This window comes from Homo sapiens, chromosome 1 (genome assembly GCF_000001405.40).
Source record: "Homo sapiens chromosome 1, GRCh38.p14 Primary Assembly".
Classification (NCBI taxonomy): Eukaryota; Metazoa; Chordata; class Mammalia; order Primates; family Hominidae; genus Homo; species Homo sapiens.
In genome coordinates, this window is record NC_000001.11 from 222930068 (window position 1) to 222950259 (window position 20192).

The 20192-nt window shown below is 37.2% G+C and overlaps 1 protein-coding gene and 1 pseudogene across 15 annotated transcripts in view; both read left to right on the forward strand.

The window, feature by feature from the left end:
- DISP1 (dispatched RND transporter family member 1) overlaps positions 1-20192 on the forward strand; it is a 190957-nt gene that overhangs the window by 115029 nt on the left and 55736 nt on the right. For all 15 annotated transcript variants that reach the window (NM_032890.5, NM_001350630.2, XM_011510075.3 and 12 more), the window contains one exon: positions 12740-13265. In NM_032890.5, the coding sequence (NP_116279.2) occupies positions 12757-13265 (509 nt within the window). In that variant the 5' untranslated portion in view covers positions 12740-12756. Of the gene's footprint in view, positions 1-12739; positions 13266-20192 lie in introns of those variants that run through there.
- NDUFB1P2 (NADH:ubiquinone oxidoreductase subunit B1 pseudogene 2) lies at positions 15658-15833 on the forward strand (annotated as a pseudogene).

The following is a 20192-nucleotide window of genomic DNA, read 5'->3' on the forward strand; positions in this document are numbered from 1 at the left end:
TATAAAGTGGATTCATCCAAAATTTAAATCTAGTCTCACTTGCCTTGCAGTTTATATTGAACCAGTGGAGCCTTTTGGGGAAATCTGCTTTTCAGTGTTTGCTATGCATCACTTCTTTACCTTCTGTTCTAACTGCTTTGAGTTCTGGGACTGGATCTGAGCATTCTTGCTGTATGATTCTTATAACTCAGTGTGGATGATGGACAGCCTTGACATACAGATGATATGAACATTTCCTATTTTTGAAAAAATACAATTCCTGATTACATTCTGACACAGGAAGCAAAACTGAGTTGTTTAGGATCAAGACATATGAGCTCCTTAGCCTGTCAGCCTTTTGGAAAAAATATAAGACAGAGCAACTAAAAAAAATTAGAAAAGCTAGACTTGGAGAAGGTGGTGGCTTTTTGTTCTCTCCATCTTAATTTCTATTCTCTTATTTTAATCAGTATTAAACAGGCTTATGTATTACAGGCTCATATTTAGATTCCAAGAAAACTGTATAAGGAAGATAGTAGGTGCTTACCAAAATGATTGCTAAATAAGGACATTTAACTGAAAAATGTGATTTAATTATTTTTGTAAGCAAACAAGAATCCCACACAATAGTAAATGTAATTTCAGTTCATCTAATATATACAAGAAAGCAAACAGCAGAATTCATAAGCATTTATAGTAATAATTTAAGGAATAGAGAAAGATTTATAAAAGTTGCACCCAGGCCCTTATTAAGACTTAATTTACTGATTCAATTCAAGTAAGAATAAAGTCTTTATAAGTTTGATGTTCTTCTAAGCTTGAAGCAAATCTCAGAGTTCTCTTTAACTGTGTTTTATACAAATACCTTGAGTGATGTTTCCCAAGTTGCTCAGTAGACTAAAGGATACTCATAGGACATTATTTGCTGGACTCTGCAGGGAAGAACCCATTTGGGGAGCTGTTCTAGGAAATTTGATTTGCTGCTTCTCAAACTTCACAAAACAGCAGGGAGTGGGGCCTGGTATTAGATACTAAACATTTGTGGGAAAAGTTTAGATAATTCTAAGTGTGGTATTAAAAAACAACACACTACCATCTAAATCAAACAACTTTTAAGTGCTTTATGGTGATTGATCTCAGTTTTTGGCTTTATGAAGGACATTTTTAAAATTCTCTCACATTCTTTTGCCTAACAATGTGTGGGAGTAAAATTTTCTTAGTTTGATTTACCTCAGTGATGTTTTTTTTTTTTCCTTTGGGCTGCTAAGTTTTGAGGTTTTGACATGTGTGAAGTATTAAACATCCATGGTATCTTTTAGACATGCTTGTGATGTGTTCAACATTTGTTAAGCTCGGTAATATGATCCTGTTTCTACTGGGGAAGAGCTATAGTGATACAGATAGATTGCTCAGTTGTAAAGCCGCCCATTTTGTGATTTTAGTTGAGACAAAATAGTTTCAAATGAAATCTCATGGCCTAAAGACACACCTATCACATCTTAAGGATCCTGTTTATTAACAAACCATCTTGTAATTCTTATTTGGTGGGGATGTGAGGCTAAATAACAGTCCTGCTATCTGCAGGCTGTCTAACCCTAGAATTGGAAAGTTTAAGATGCTTAAAATGCCACCAGGAATCTTTTTTTTTTTTTTTTCCTGGCATGGAACTTTAGGGAACATGCTCTTTTATTAGAGGATCTTGAGCCTTCATTTTAGAGACTGACCAGACATTGAGGATGAACTTTTTCTTGAGTGTTAAATAAACTCATTAGTCAAATTAGCTACTTCCCAAATTTTCTTCAAAAGATCAATAAATAATAAAGGCTATATGGCAAGGTGTTTCACATTTCCACAACATTGTTCCACGCAAAGTCTGCACTGTTGTCTTGCTTGAGCTAATATCTTATCAAGGCTTTCTCTCCCCACCCTTCCAGCTTAAGAAGTACTGCAGATGAAATCTCTTTTCATTGTAACAAGAGCAATAAAAAAAAGTAAAGATAGTTTAAACTTAGAGTACCAGGTCCAACTGTTTTCTAATATGCAGCAATATTCTGCATTTCAAGCAATATTTTCAGACTGTTGAATATTTTGAGTGGCAGTTGCTTGCTCTTATAGATTGATCAGCATTAATTATATAAAGTATAAATCAGTGGCTCTCAGCTCTGACTGCATGTTAAAATCACCCAGGATGCTTTAAAAAATGCTAATGTCCACACTTCACTACAATATGAATTAAATCAGAACCTCAACCTCTGGGGCCAGGACCCTTTTATCATAATTTTTTTAGTATTACCAAAGTGATTCTAATGTGCAGCCAGAGATGAGACTGCTGTGATAGACTTGTAATTTTATTAATATTCATATTTAATGCATACCTTAAGACTTGTAGCAGAGTCTAATTAAATGTTTTGGCTAGTTTTGGGGTTAGATAACTACTTATATAGGAGAACTTTGTAGAATTTTTTTAAAGTGACCATTGTTTGACATCCCTGATTATAGAAAGTTTCTCTAGTTTTATTTTGTATATTTTTGGTTATACAATTTCACATAATTCTCCAAACTTAGGGTTCAAAAGAAATTAGTGCAGCTTAATGGAATTTAAACTCATCTGAAAGAGGAGCGCAAAGCTATGAGAAGCCTTCCCTACCTCTTTCTTTCCAGCATTGATGCTTATGGGCACAGTACTTATAACACGAGTGTGGAGAGAAGTGGTAAATATTACATGGAAAGATAATTTTTGTGGATGAACCTGGAAAAGAGATCTCTGAAAAGTGCTTTGATAATTGCAATATTGTGAGAGTGCTCTTGAAATATGTATTTAGGAAGATAAGTGTTTATGCTAAATGAAGGATATCACTGATATCATTTACCTGAGATTGAAAGAGATAAACTTCATTTTATACCCACATTTCTGTTCCCACATAGACCAAAGGTACATTGGATGTAAAACAAAATGAGAAAAATGAAATTGATGTTTCTACAACCCTGAAATTTCTATCACTCACCTCTACATATGAAAATTTCTGCTTTTACAACCTAACTCATTTCTAGCAGTAATACTGCTTTCCAAAGGTAGGGCTTTCAGATTTGCTATGGCAGATATACTGCAATATCGTTAAGGTTATTTTACATTCATATTTTTTGTTGTAACTCTAGGGGGAAACTTTATCTGGAAACTTTAATTTTTCTTCTGTATCATTAAGTTGTTTGTGAATACCATGAATATTGAAACAAAACATTTACAGTGTATCCATATATCTTAGTTCCTCTGTCAATATATATCATGTATGTAATCATATTAATAGAGGTTATCTAAAAATGTTAGGCGTATTTCATTTTCAAAGGTGGTGCTTATCATAAGTTGAAACTACCCATAAATTGAATAATAAGAACAGTATGTTCTCACTGTAAAAGAATGCTAACCTTCATTTTCATATTTCCTGGAACTCAGTTCGCTTTCTCCTAGTTGGCAGAGAGCTAACTAATACCTAGTAGGCTCTTATGAAATATTTAGTGGTATAGATCTTCAAATATATAATGTTTGTTTCTTTGGGAAAATGGCTTTCAACTTATTATAGTTTATGCTTAAGGGGAATACTAGAATTAACACCTTATTTTTGTATAGGCCTTTGCAATATATAAAATGTTTACAAGTGATTTGGGGAAGCTATTTATAAGTATTCTCATGAAGGAGAGTTTAATAGTAGAAAGTTTACAAACTTAAAAATAAGAAAATGTAATTTGTCTCAGGAGGGAAGAAGATTATATTTCTTTATTTAAGACCATCCTTTCTAGTTCCTTAAAAGTGTCTGATTCTTTCATTAAAGATACAGATTTTGCTGTCAGGTCACAATTACATTATTCTTAAATAGTCAATATACTATATGACAACAAAGATCAATCCATTGTCTTGCTTTTTTAAGTTTGCATAATATGATATATGGATGGATAACACCTTTCCTTAATTTAGTGAAATATGTCTCTGGCGCTCTTGAATGCTGAATTGTACCTTTTAAAACTATCTTGGGAAATATCGAATTCATAGGCTATTTTTCATGTGGACCTTCAGACAGAATTTTACATCAGTAGCCTCTTGTGGTCCTATAAAAGCTAGTTGGACTTGGCATTGCTCTAGAGGCATCTTGAGGTAGTGGAAAAGCCTTACCTTTAGAGTCATACTGGTCTGAGATTAAAGCATGCAATTTGGATTAGCTACTTTAATATTTTTGATTCTCAGTTTTCTCTGTAATGGGTTTAATAATAAATTCACAGAGGTATTGTGAAAAAAGGGGCTTGACATAGTGAGATGATTAAAAAAAATTTTAATAGCCCTTTGAAGGGAAAAATATTTGTAGAGACAATACTTGCCTGATTTGGCTTCTGCGTAGCCCCACTATAGTTCTTTATCAATTTCTGTTGGCATTTAGAGCAGCCATTTATTTCTCTGGCCATAACACTAAATATTAGCAGGCCAACGAGGTACCAGTAATCAGAAATTAGTCCATCATTTTAGGATAAGCAGGAAGCAACTGTGGAGGAACCATTTCATATTAAAACAAGTTTGGTAAATAATGGATACAGGTATCCCCAGACTGCCTTTATACCTGATGTGAAGAAAGATACCTGATGTGAAGAAAGACTTAAGGTCTCTTTATATACCCATCTTTTAATACCTAGTGCCACTTGAGAGGGAAACAAATGTATCTCAGTTAACTAGGCAGGGTGCTTCAGTCCATTTATATGAGTTGCACTAAAAAGATCAAAATCTTAACAGCTGTTATTTGCATGCACAAAAAACAGTTTGGGAGTCATGATACAAGCCATAATTAAACTTGATTATCAATTAGAACCTCTGTTGTTAAATGTGTTACATTTCTTTGCCTTAAAAAGAAAAATGGGCCTTTATTTCTGTCAACTGTTATCATTTCCCTACTTATTTTTCTTCATTCTGCTTTAATTGTGCATATCTTGCCATAACTGAGGCATAATTCTCTTGTAGTCTCCCCACCTAGTTTGTGGTTTTCTCTTGCTACGCAAAATGTGTTCTAGGTATCAGCAGTATGGACATGTTGTTGGAGGCTTGTTGCTCCACCCCTGATGTACTGTATCAAATCTTTATTCTAACTGCATCTCTAGGTGATCCTTGTATTTGGAAGCACTGGTTTAGTGTTTTGTATTTACCTACTGAAACTGCTCTAGGGAGCATGACTCTTCTGAAAAAGGTGGTTGGCTACAACAAGGGATCTTGTTGGTGATCCAGTCTTGCCATTTATTCTTAAGTTTGGTATTAGGAATCTGGTGAAGCAAAGAGTTATTCTAAAATACATCATCTGAGTGTACAGAATACAGTTTATCAGAAAGCTCTCAAGACCTTGGCATCATGCTTCCTAGCTTCACCATTTGTCATCAGTATGTGACTTTGAGCACCTTACTTAGAATCTCTATGTTGTTTTCTCCTAGCAAAATGGAGTGGTAATGCCTGCCACCCCTGTTTTTCCAGAGGGCTATTAGGAGGATCAACTCAAGTGAGATCATTTGTGAGAAAGTGCTTTGGAAATAGCCAAGAGGTGTACAATTTTAACAGTTGATGGGGATGAAAATGGTGTTCCTTCAGGCTATATGAGCCCTGTGTTTGTTACGGATAGTGAGGCTTTGCTAAGTGGTTACTGTGGTAATTGGGACAGGTCTGTGTATTCTCTTCAACAGTACATTTAGATTTTACCTTGGCAGTTTTCTGGCCACACTAGCAGTTCTGACCGCCAATTCCAAGTAGCTGCTGAGGTTTTCTTAACGCTATTTGTATTCTGGGAGCCATCTAGTTTGATTGCATCCTTTGTACAAATTGTGTGTCATTAATTTTGGTGTATGATACAGTCATGTGCCACATAAAGACATTTTGGTCAGTGACAGACCACATATACCATGTTGGTCCCATAAGATTATAATGGAGATGAAAAATTCCTATGGCCTAGCCATGGTGACACTGGAATGCAACACCTTACCTTTTTTATGTTTAGATGTGTTTATCATTATTTTTTATTATTCATGTTTAGATATGTGTGGTAGACAAATACCTGCATTACAGTTGTCTACAGTATTTAGTACAGTAACATGCTGTATAGGTTTGTAGCCTAGGAGCAATAGACCATGCCATATAGCCTAGCTGTGGCTACAGCATCTAGGTTTATGTAAGTACACTGTGATGACCACACAATGGTGAAATCACCCGATGATGCATGTCTCTGGACATATCCCCGTCCTTAGGTGATATGTGATTGTCTCTTGACAAATGAAATTATCATAATCCTGATAGCATTTTCAATGTGATGCAACTTTTTGTCTGAAGCATTATTTTTCCATTTATTTTATAGTTGTATATTTCCTGAGTTCCAAACAGGAGTTGGATGTCATTATTTTGAACCATCTAATCATATGAACTCTGATGACACTTTTCTCTTTACATTTCAGTATGATGGAAATGTCTCTCTCTCTCTCTATATATATATATATGAGATTTATATATAATATATATCATATATATGAGAGATATATATCTCTCATATATATGAGATATATATATCTCTCATATATATGAGATATATATATCTCTCATATATATGAGGTATATATAATATATAAAATATATGATATATATCATATATATTATATATCATATATATGATATATAAAAATTATATATCATATATATGATATATAAAAATTATATATATCATATATAATATATATAATATATTATATATATAAATTATATATAATATATATAAATTATATATATCATATATATGATATATAATTTATATATCATATATATGATATATATAATATATTATTTATATATAATATATTATATATTATATAATATGTAATATATATTATATATTACATATTATATTATTTATAAATAATATTTTATAATATATATAATATTATATAATATAGAATATTATATATTATATATTACATATTATATAATATATTATATATAATATGCAATATATAATATATTATTTAATATATTACAGTTTATATATATATATTTTGAGACGGAGTCTTGCTCTGTCGCCCAGGCTGGAGTGCAGTGGCGTGATCTCGGCTCACTGCAAGGTCCGCCTCCTGGGTTCACGCCATTCTCCTGCCTCAGCCTCCTGAGTCGCTCGGACTACAGGCACCCGCCACCACGCTCGGCTAATTTCTTTGTATTTTTAGTAGAGACGAGGTTTCACCGTGTTAGCCAGGATGGTCTCGATCTCCTGACCTCGTGATCCACCCGCCTCAGCCTCCCAAAGTGCTGGGATTACAGGCGTGAGCCACTGCGCCCTGCCCCTCTCTATACTTCAATATATTAATTTACTTGCGTTATGTATTATACAAGAGTATTCATATATGTATACATACATAGTGTTATATATACAAGGGTATTAACACTCTCGTGTTATATAGCCCATTCTGGTTTTCAAAACATTTTTACATTCTCATAGTAATCCTATGAAATGTATATTTTAAAATTTAATCGAAAGATGGTTTTTGGCCAAAGACCTTGTAGCCCCAAAATTGCTAAATCATTCTGGACATTAAAATGCTGGCTAAAAATGTAAAATAGGGGATATGAGATTAGAAGCTTGAATTTGTTGATATTGGCATGTTATATTCATGAACAGCAGGAAATGCATTAAAATATCTTGGTGTGGGCACATCACATCTCAAGCCAATGCTTCAATAATAGCTTGCCTTTTTTTTTTTTTTTTTTTTTTGCATTCCCCTGTGTTTTATGGCCCTGGGAGAACAGGTGATTTCAACAATAGCTGTTTTGTTTTGTTTTGTTTTGAGACAGGGTCTCGTTCTACCACCCAGGCTGGAATGCAGTGGTGTGTCTCAAGCTCACCACAACCTCCGTCTCTTGGGCTCAAGTGATCCTCCCATTTCAGCCTCCTGAGTAGCTGGGACTACAAGCAAACAACACCATGCTCAGCTAACTTTTAAATTGTTTTTAGAGACAAGGTCTCACTATATTTTCAGGCTTGTCTCAAACTCCTGAGCCCTAGCAGTCTTCCTGCCTCAGCCTCCCAAAGTGCTGGGATTACAGGCATGAGCCACTGTGCCCAGTCTCAACATAGCTGTCTTTTAAAGTTACTCATTATATTTTACCCAAAACCGATTTTAAACTTTCACTATAAATATTACTATCACTGCATTCATAATCATATACCATTACACTTATCACAATAGTTTGACAAATGTAAGGGTATTAAGACTCTCAGGAACTCCTTATTCCACTCCTATTATACTTATACTTCCTCTATCTTATTCTTCTTTCCTGTTAGTTCCCTCCGTCTTAGGCTCAGACTGGATTTTTTCCTCATTTATCTCAGTTCTAAAGAAAAAGGAGGCTGGGCATGGTGGCTCATCCTGTAATCCTAGCACTTTGGGAGGCTGAGGCAGGAGGATCGCTTGAGCTCTGGGATTTGAGACCAGACTGGGCAACATAGGAGAACCCACCTCTACAAAAAAATTAAAAATTAGCATGACATGATGGTACATGCCTATGGTCCCAGCTACATAGGAGGCTGAGGCAGGAGGATTGCTTGGGCCTGGGAGGTCTAGGCTGCAGGAAGCCATGATCGCACCAGTGCACTCAAGCCTGGGTGACAGAGCAAGACCCTGTCTTTAAAAAAAAAAAAAAAAAAAAAAAAAAAAAGGAAGGAAGGAAGGAAGGAAGGACGGGATGAAGAGGGGGAAGGGATGATCTTTCTCTGTATGGGCCTTAGGGTTAACTCCTGATCTCAGAGTGAAATACTTTCCTATTCTGGCTGGTCACCTGAACACCTACCCAAATGCATCCATTGAACTTAAATAATCTATAGACAGTTCATAAAATATTTTTTCTGTTTTTGCTTCTAAATTTTTTTACCTGTACTTTTTACATACTTATGAGGTCAAATTGATTGGTCCCATGTTATAATTAAAGAAATGGAATCAGAGAACACTCATGTGACTTGCTTCAAATACAAGCCAAAGTCAGAGTTCAAATTATTCTTTACTAGTTCCTACTTCATTACAAGAAGTCTCCCAAGTTACAAAATAGGTTGTGTTCCAAAAATTCATTTGTAAGTCAGTTATTTGGCATTTGAACTGCATTTTACCATGTGGAAAAAACATGTTATAAGTGATGATTAGGTCCCCAGCTGGCATATAAGAATCTATTTAACTCTTGTGTAACTACAAAACGATACATTTGTAATAAATTTAAAAGAGAATGATAGTTGTGATTCTGATTATGAAGAAAAATAATTTTTTTTTTTTTTTTTTTTTTTTTTTACTGAGGATAAGCAGATTTAATTAGAAGATAGGAAAACATGAAGATTGAGGAGGGTCTAGAGGGGATTTCAGGGTTCTTTGAAGGGAGTTAGAGGTTGATGGGATTCTGTCTGAAGCCCAATGTATTCAGTTCTTGCACTACCATAAAGAAATACCTGGGCTGGGCACAGTGGCTCACGCCTGTAATCCTAATCCCAGCACTTTGGGAGGTCGAGGTGGGCAGATCACCTGAGGTCAGGAGTTCGAGACCAGCCTGGCCAACATGGTGAAACCCTGTCTCTACCAAAAAATACAAAAATTAGCTGGGTGTGGTGGCACACACCTGTGATCCCTGCTACTCAGGAGGCTGAGGTGGGAGAATACTTGAACCCAGGATGTGGAGGTTGCAGTGAGTAAGCCAAGATTACACCACTTCACTACACCCTGGGCAACAGATGGAGATCCTGTCAAAAAAAAAAAAAGGCCGGGCGCAGTGGCTCACGCCTGTAATCCCAGCACTTTGGGAGGCTGAGGCGGGCGGATCACGAGGTCAGGAGATCGAGACCATCCTGGCTAACACGGTGAGATCCCGTCTCTACTAAAAAATATGAAAAATTAGCCAGGCGTGGTGGTGGGCGCCTGTAGTCCCAGCTACTTGGGAAGCTGAGGCAGGAGAATGGCATGAACCTGGGAGGTGGAGCTTACAGTGAGCCGAGATCGCGCCACTGCACTCCAGCCTGGGTGACAGAGCAAGACTCCATCTCAAAAAAAAAAAGAAAAGAAAAAAAAATAACCTGAGACTGGGTAATTTATAAAGAAAAGAGGTTTCATTGGCTCACGATTCTGCAGGCTGTACAGGAAATATGGCAGCACCAGCTCAGCTTCTGGCGAGGCCTTAGGAAATTCACAATCATGGCAGAAGGTAAAGGGGAAGCTGGCCAGAGAAGGAGAAAGTTGGCCGGGGACATGTGTCACATGCTTTTAAACAACCAGATCTCAGGAGAACCCACTCACTATCATGAGAACAGCACAAAGAGGGAAATCTAGCCCCATAATCCAATCACCTCCCACCACGCCCCACCTCCAACACTGAGGATTACAGTTCGACATGAGATTTGGGCAGGACACAGATCCAAACCCTATCAGCCAGTTTCACTTTGAAACTTTTAAGTCATTTGTTGTTATTAGATGCTTCTCACTGGCATGACTTACCCAGCATCTGTGATTAGAATCAGTAGAATTGATTGAATTAAATACCTAGGAAAAAGTAGACTATTTGAGATGATACATTAACCAACCTGGGATGGTAAAAACAAACTAACAAATTAGAAGTATTCTTTCCTTCAGCCCTCCTGATGGAAAGGGCAGGAGGAGTTGACTTTCCCATTTAGCCCAGCAGATTCCCATCAGCTGTGATAGTTTAACTGAGGTACAGGTGGAGGTTGGAGAAAAGCGTGTGCCTGCAGTGATTTCTTTGAATGGAGTGCTCGTACAATGAGAGTTTCTAATTCTGGGAAATAATTACATTGATCTCATCTAGTGATTGTTTCCTACATTATCTAAGACACAATTAAACATCTTAAATTTCAATTAGCTTTTTTAAAAAACGTCCAGTGCTTCTTTAAATGTCCTTTATGTTTTGTTATTTTCATAACCTTTGCATATGGCTTTTTCTTTTGTTAACAACAAAAGGGAGGTTATATTCTTCAGTAAACTGAAGCATAAATGAGCAGATCTTGCTGAGATGGCACATTTAGAAAATGATGAGATTAGTTCTTGCCTCCTGGATCACATTAGTGCTCTTGCCGGTCAGTATATCTACCCTACCTCCTGCTAGTTTAGATAATACATTAACTACTATTACTCTGTGTTGGGTATATTCTTTGAATGTTTTACAGTGGATGTTTGTTTAACACTGGGAACATTGGAAAGTGATTTAATGAAGGAGAGAGCAACTGTATTTACTACAGTTCAGAATCCCTCTCAATGGTCATTGTAAAAGGAAGTTTGGGATTGGCAAGCCATTTTCAAAAGTGATGTAAGACTAATGAGGGAAGTAACATCTACTTGATTTTATATATATTTTGATGTTTTTAAATGCTTTGTCTTCCCACTAAGCAATTTATTAAGAAATTCCTATTGCATGATGTTTATTTAACTGAATTTGTGTATGTGGGGTAGGGTGTGTTTGAGGAATTTTGTCTGAAAGGTAAATATGCTAAATTTACATCCTAGTATGGGCATGCTCTGCTCACAAATGCCTCTGCTGAGCAGTTTACATACTGGGTGAAAATGTACATAGGAATCCTCATGGGGGATCCAGGTTTGCCAGTGAGATTACTATGTACTCAGACTGAAAAAGATGATTTCTTCTGATTACCTGTGTGTCTGCCAGAGGTGGGGAAGGACTAGAAAGAGATTCCTGCACAAGCCGTTTTGTCTACTTAGAGAATGGCATGCTAGAAGGGTTAGCGAGCTAAATTACAGTTTTCTTTTTGTTGTTGTTGTTGGCTTTTATGTATATGTTGAATAGACTAATAGCATTTGATGACCCTTTTTTTTTTTTTTACTGTGAATTCCCGGATTTTGTGTGTATGTTGCTCAGAGGGTAGTGCAGTGAGCAAAGGGATAGGGAGATTGTCTGTTTTTTTGTTTGTTGATTGGACACACTTGCTGCTGGTAATTTGAGCATCTAAGGATCTTCCTTTATATTGAAGCCCTGAACCTTTTGGTGGAAGGAAAAAAAAAAGTAAGAAAAAAAACTCATTTGAAGCAAATCCCACCCATAGTATTATTTTTCTCATGTGCAGGCAATGTCACCTGTAGTATATTATATAGAATTTTGCATCTGATATTTTGGTTGCTAGAATTCTTAGCTTTCCTGACTGGTTTTAATTTATTATTCTCAGACTTGAATGACTAAGGGGAAAAATCATATATTCTTGAGATTTTTCTAAGATACAAAACATTCTTAAGATTATTCAAATTATTTTAACCTTGTACAATGAATTACCCTCAGAGTGGCCCTTCATTTTGCCCGTCACTCCTAAATCAGAACATATAAGCCAACCATGATATTGTTGAAAAGCTAAAGGATGCTATTTGTATCCTCTCCTCTCATGCAAAATGGTCTAGTTCTTAACTGATTACTTGTGCATCTAGGATGGGGTGAGAAGAAGGGCACTGAAAGGAGAGGTGGGCAGGAGAAAAGTGATCAATGGGAATAGAAGAGGGTTTTTAAGGTGCCTAAAATAGCTGGAGGAAAGAAGAGGAGTGCCACTGTGTTGGCTGGTTCCATCACAGATGCTGCGGAATTTCTACCACTGTCTCACAACTCTGCAAGAACCCTCATTTTCAATGAGCTGTTTTTAAATATCATACTTGTCTTTCCTACATATTTGCCTGCCTGACTGTAACTGGGCGATTTTATGATTTTCTTACTTAGAGTCAAGAAATTGGAGCATGGCTATGAGCAATGGAAACAATGATTTTGTGGTTCTGAGCAACAGCAGCATCGCAACCAGTGCTGCTAACCCGAGTCCCCTCACCCCCTGTGATGGAGACCATGCAGCCCAGCAGCTCACACCCAAAGAAGCAACAAGAACAAAAGTGAGTCCAAATGGATGCCTGCAACTTAATGGCACGGTCAAATCATCCTTTCTGCCTTTAGACAACCAAAGAATGCCTCAGATGTTACCCCAATGCTGCCATCCTTGCCCATACCATCACCCTTTGACTAGCCATAGCAGTCACCAAGAGTGCCATCCCGAGGCTGGCCCTGCAGCACCCTCTGCTTTGGCCTCGTGTTGCATGCAGCCACACTCCGAGTATTCTGCATCTCTTTGTCCAAATCATTCACCTGTGTATCAGACTACGTGCTGTCTTCAGCCCTCTCCATCCTTCTGCCTGCATCATCCGTGGCCTGACCATTTTCAGCATCAGCCTGTGCAACAGCACATAGCCAACATAAGGTAAGTGATCCGAAAGTTTTGCTTTTAGCATTCAACTAATGCCACGTGAACATGACAGCTTGTGTTTATTTTCCTGAAAGGAGAGGAGAAAAATGAGGCACAGAAAGAAAACATGAAAACGCATATTCTGTGGATTGTGTGAAGCCAACAAAAACGCAAATAAAATAATACTGTATATCGATTTTATCCACTGACTTGTTAGTCAAATCCTCCCTTCCCCTTTCCCTGTCTGCAAACTGGTTAGGAATATCTGCTAGACCTTGAGTTATAAAATTCAACAAAAAGTTTTATTGTTAGCAATTTCTGTTATTGTACATGGGAAGCATATTTATGATGAGACTAAACAGCAGTCATTTATTTGCTGTTATTGATAGTGGTGAACATTTATGAAAAAGAAGTAAAAAACCCCTTGCCGGCCAGATGCGGTGGCTCATGCCTGTAATCCCAGCACTTTGGGAGGCCGAGGCAGGCGGATCACTTGAGATTGGGAGTTTGAGACCAGCCTGACGAACATGGACAAACCCCGTCTCTACTAAAAATACAAAAAATTAGCTGGGCGTGGTGGTGCATGCCTATAATCCCAGCTACTCAGGAGGTTGAGGCAGGAGAATCGCGTGAACCTGGGAGGTGGAGGTTGTGGTGAGCCGAGATCACACCATTGCACTCCAGCCTGGGCAACAAGAGTGAAACTCAGTCTCCAAGAAAAAAGAAACAACAACAACAACAAAAAAACACCTTGCCTCCTCATGCTGCCTTATGGCTGTACTCAACATTTCTATTCCTGTGTTTTGGTGACTATGTGGTATGCTGAGATCAAATGAAAGTAGCAATTCCCTTCATAGCAGATAAAACCTGTGAATTGTAGCACGGGACTTTTAAAAATATTTTTTGTAAAGCATTTTTAGATCTGGTACCTTGAAAAGTACTAGAAAAATCAATATCATTGCCAGTGCTTATTTCCACCTCAGTCCATAGTTTCTCATATGTATGATTTTCAGCTATTTTTTCCATGGGTAAGTTAAGTTGCATTCAGTATAGGTTAGCAATGGTAATATATTTTACAAAATACTAAGTACTTTCTAGAGACCTAGTATTAGTTCACATTTTTAAGTAATAAAAAGTTTAACTAGAAAAAGAGCATTCTCTTTAAAATTAGGGTATAATTTATATACAGGGAAATGTACAGATTAATTATTCAGTTCGATCAGTGTTGACAAACGTATACAAAAGTGTAACCCATATTTTGGTCTGATGTAGAACATTTCTGTCACCCCAGAAGGTAAGTTCCTTCATGCCCTTTCTCAGTTATTCCCTCTGTCTTCACCAGAAGCAATCACTGCTGAGTTCTATTACTATAGATTTGTTTTGCCTACTCCTAGAACTTCAGATAAGTGGAATCATACAGTATGCACTCTTTCGTGTTTGGCAATCTTTGCTCAGCATAATATTTTTGAGTTTCTTCTAGTTATTGTATGTATTTGTTTTTCCATTTATTGCTGAGTAGTAATCCACTGTATGCATGTAACAAATTCACTTCTGATTAAAGAGTCAGGGCTGGGTGCTGCAGCTCATGGCTGCGGGGATTACAGAATCCCAACACTTCGGGAGGTTGAGGTGGAAGGATTGCTTGAGCCCAGGACTTCAATGCCAGCCTGGGCAACATAGCAAAACTCTGTATCTACAAAAAAAAAAGGGAAAAAAGTCAGATCCAAAAAGGGATTAAGTGATAAATACTTTTCACCTTTATCAGGTTTTGAACATTGTTGAGATTATCTGGTTACACTCTTTTTAAAGAGAGGAAGGGAAACGTGGTAATAAAGCAGAAAGAAAGAGTGAGGAGGGGGAAAGAGGAGAGTCCTTCACAGCATGTTACTGCAGTTTCTGAATACATTTTCCAGACTGGCTTTGAGAGTCGTTTAATTATAGGCTATGATAAGAAGTTCACCACATTTACCAAAGCCATTTCTTAGAAGATTTGTCCTGACCACATTGTGCTACATGGCTAGTTTTAGACTCTTTCCATTTTGAATCAAACTGTGTGAACAGTTGATTATTAAATTATCATAAATATTGATGTTTCAAATAATAAATTATATGGTTGCAAAGTATGAAATAAGATAGATATTTCTGCATTTTGAAGCTGATACCTCCTCTTAAAAAATTACAACATAAAACTGGTGAACAAATAACCAATTCTTTCAGTATGGAAGGTTGTGCCAAGATTTTCAGGATTTTGACTTAGCATTTCTCACTGACCTAATTCAAAAGCAGTGAGATCCCTGTGTACACTTGAAATAGAATGGCATTAAAAAAACGAACTGATAGGCAGGTGGCTGAGCTCATCACTACCCTTGGTTGTGGGGTCATTGTTGGAACTGGGGCTTTTGCAATCATGGTGGACTGACTTGAGACTGTGTATGAGCACTGGGTCCATAGACTTGTCCGTATAGGATTTGTCTTTGTATGTTATCTAAAGAGAAAGAATGATGAAAAGCTAACTGCCTTCTGGAAAAATAGTATTTTATTTAAAAGGGAATTGACACCCATGGAGAAGTTGCTTGGAAGTAAAGGCAGTGGCTGAACTATATAATGTTTACATTTTAAAAGTTATGAGAGAAATAAAAACACTCATACTTAATTTGAAAAACATTAACTTTAAAATTGCCACAATTGTCCATCAAAAAAATTTGTAGAAGAAAGTAGATTAGTATGAAGGAAATTTTTTATATTTAGAATTTTATCTCAAGAATTTGAGCCTTGGCCGGGCGTGGTGGCTCATGCCTGTAATCCCAGCACTTTGGGAGGCGGAGGCAGGCAGATCGCGAGGTCAGGAGGTCGAGACCATCCTAGCTAACACAGTGAAATCCCGTCTCTACTAAAAATACAAAAAAAAAAAAAAAAATTAGCCGGGCATGGTGGCGGGCGCCTGTAGTCCCAGCTACTTGGGAGGCTGAGACAGGAGAATGGCGTGAACCCAGGAGGCGAAGCTTGCAGTGAGCTGAGATCACGCCACTGCACTCCAGCCTGGGCGACAAAGTGAGACTCCATCTCAAAAAAAAAAAAAAAAAAAAGAATTTGAGCCTTTTGGTTATCTGTTTGTAACAGACATAAAATATTTTAAAGATGCCTGCAGAGGAATGGTATGTGTCCATTTGTGTATGTTACATACTTTATTGTGCCTCAATGATTACTTTGCTATTTTCTACATTTACTTATATAATCCACAATGTTTACTGAATTCTTATATGTGCCAGGCACCGAGGATATAATTCCAAACAAGTTGAGACATTCTTTTGCCTTCATACAGCTATAAACTAGTAGGAAGGGAGCCAGTAAAGCAAATAGGCAGGTACAGTATTGTGGTAAGTACTATCAAGAAGGAATACACAGGGCTAAAGATGAAGAAAAGTTACAGATGGAGAGAGAATTGAAGAGGCTTGTCTTTTAGGCAGAGGGAACAGTTTGTGCAAATACTTTTACAAGGTGGTGTGAGCTCAGCTCCAGCATAGGTCAATATGGCTGGACCCTAGTGGAAGAGAGAGTGGTAGCAAGAGGAGAGGTATACTAGGACTAAATCCTGAAGGGTATTGTGAACCACATTAAGGCAATCTCTAGATTTCATCCTGAGGCTAATGAGGACTCATTATAGATTTGTGTGTGTTTGTGATTTTTTTTATTGTGGTGAAATATACATAACATAAAACTTAATATTTTAACCATTTTTAAGTATACAGTTTAGTGACATTAAGTACATTCACCTTGTTGTGCACCCATCACTACTACCTTTGTCCAGAACTATTTCATCTTCCCAAACTGAAACTCCATACTCACTAAATTATAACTCTGCCTGCCCCTGGAAACCACTATTCTACTTTTTGTCTCCATGAATTTGACTTCTCTAGATACCTCAAATAAGTTGAATCCTATAGTATTTGCCTTTTTTTTGTCTGGCTTATTTCACTCCACATAATGTCTTCAAGGGTCATTCATGTTGTAGCATGTGTCATAATTTCCTTTCTTTTTAAGGCTGAATAATATTCCATTGTATATTTATATATTATATTTTATCATTTTATCAGTTACATTTTATCATTTTATCAATTACACAATACATTTTATCAGTTCATTGATGGACACTTCGATCTTTCAGGTATCATGGCTATTGTGAATAATGCTGCTATGAGCTTGGGTTCTGTTCAAGTCCCTGCTTTCAGTTCTTTTGGGTATATGCTCAGACCAGAAGTGGAATTACTGGAGCATATGGTAATTCTGTTTTTAGCTTTTTGAGGAACCGTTTTCCATAGTGGCTGCACCATTTTACACCAGCAGTGCAAAAAGTTCCAGTGTTTCCAGATCCTTGCCGACACTTGTTATTTTATCTGTTTTTTCTTTTTTAAGAGTAGGCATCCTAATTGATGTGAGATTATAAATTTTAAAGCAGAAAAAAAAAACACAGTAAGAAACATTTTAGGAAATTTCATCGTTTGCATTGTGGAGAGTAGATTGAATTGGGTCAGGACCGTTGTAGATAGGAAGAACACTATAAGGCTTGTTGCAGTAGTTCAAGTGAGAAATGTGATAACTTGAACCATGATTTAGAAATAAATTCATTCTAGAGAGATTTAGGAGGTGGAATCTACTAGATTTGGTGGATGATTGGATATCGGAGGGGCAAAGGGAGTAAGAATCACAACTGATTTTCAGTTTCCTGGCTTGAGCAACTGGTTGGGTAGATGGTAATGCCATTCACTAAAATGGGGAAGACAGAAGAAGGGAACTAAGTAAACAGAGCTGAGACATTGAGCTTCCAGAGAGGACTACAGAGTAACAGTAACAGTGAAAGTGTGATGTCCCTTGAGCTTATTTGAAAGAATGAGGTTGCTGAGTAATACATGACAATGCACTGAGGGCAATACTGGTGGGGGTTATCTTAGAATGAACACTGAAGCACTTTGACTCAGGCCAGCAGGTATTATATTTGCAGAATTGTGCTATGGGCAAGGCACTGAGTGAGATGCTATCTCGTCCTTTACCCAACCAATAAAATATCCACAGAAGCAAATGTGCTCTTCGATAGAGCTGCTATCTATGTATGGGAGAACAGGGCAGTTTGGGAAAGTCTGCACAGGATGTCCTTGGTAAGGAATTCTGAAAATGAGGATGTTGTACCATGCTTTACTGCCTTTGATTATTCTACGCAACTCTTTCAGGAACTTACTGTAACAAAGGTTCTAGAGGTTGATCTCGACCAGGAACTTCAAGTCTTTTTAGTTTTCTTTATTGTGGTTTATTGCTATGTAATTTTTAAGTTCTTTTTAAATTGATAAGGTCAAGTAAGTACTTAATGAAATGTTATTCAATTAATGTTTAAGGTGTATTTATGACTTCACATTACTTTAAAGGATGTGTTAAACATTGACCGCCTTAGAGTAAAATTGTATGGTGATGGAAGATCCTAAGTGCTATCAATTTTTATTGTTATTTGCACCTATACCACAAATGGGCCCACCTGTTTGTATTTGAAAGTGTTTTCTAAAGTTTTTATTTGTTTATAAAGCACTTAAGCCATAGAGAATGTTTTAAAGAATCAATCAGATAGAAAATATAATTTTAACGTAGGCCATTTGCTACTTACCACCTTTTGTATAGTAGACTCTCTTTCATCCCCTCTTGATTCTTTAAGCTTTAATAAATCTTTCTAAAAGATTCATTATATCAACCATCTGTGTGTTTTTTTTAAAAAAAAATTCCTTTTTAGTGTTCCGATTAATAAAATTAAGGCCAGGCGTGGTGGCTTGAGCTTGTAATCCCAGAACTTTGGGAGGCTGTGGCAGGCCAATCACTTGAGGTCAGGAGTTCGAGACCAGCCTGGCCAGCAATGGCGAAACCCTGTCTCTGCTAAACTACAAAAATTAGCCTGGTGTGGTGGTGCGCACCTGTAGTCCCAGCTACTTGGGAGGCTGAGGCAGGAGAATTACTTGAATCCGAGAGGTGGAGGTTGCAGTAAGCCAGGATCGTACCACTGCACTCCAGCCTGAGCGACAGAGGGAGACTCTCAAAAAAAAAAATACATAAAATTAAAATAAAGATTATTGCAAGGATCACATTTAATATGTCTATTTTAATTATTGCCAAATATTAAGTAGCTTAAATCGATTTTATTTTAAAGCTTTAGATTTCATTTTAAAGCTTCAGGCTTTTATATTTGTAGATTCCTGTCCTCATATACATTATTCAGCCCTTAATTAACATGTCTAATTGAGAACAATAAGGAATTTTATTTTATCTTATTTTATTTATTTGTTTCTTTTTGAGACAGAGTCTTGCTCCATCGCCCAGGCTGGAGTGCAGTGGCACGATCTCAGCTCACTGCAACCTCCACCTCCTGGGTTCAACGGATTCTTCTGCCTCAGCCTCCTGAGCAGTTGGGATTACAGGCGCACACCACCACGCCCAGCTAATTTTTGTACTTTTAGTAGAGATGGGGTTTCACCATGTTGACCAGGCTGGTCTTGAACTCCTGGCCTCAAGTGATCCGCCTGCCTCAGCCTCCCAAAGTGCTGGGATTACAGGCATGAGCCACAGCGCCCAGCCACAATAAGGAATTTTAAAAGGCTGAAAATAGTCTCTCCTCACCATGAGGCAAGACTTATACCAACAAGTCCTAAACCTAGCTGATCATCTTTGGAGTCACCTGGGGAATTAAAAATAAAATAAGTAGAATAAGAAGATATTTCTTTTGCAGTAGAAACAATAAATAACTCTAAGAGTTGAGAGGTGGGAAGGATCCCCTGGAAGGATCCCTGTAGGTTATTGAGGTTAGGGACAGTCTGACTGAGAAGAACAGAACATGAATGGCCCTTGAAAGATGACTAGAAATGAATGAAGGGACTCGAGGAGGCAAAACATGGAAAGTGGAGGAAAGTT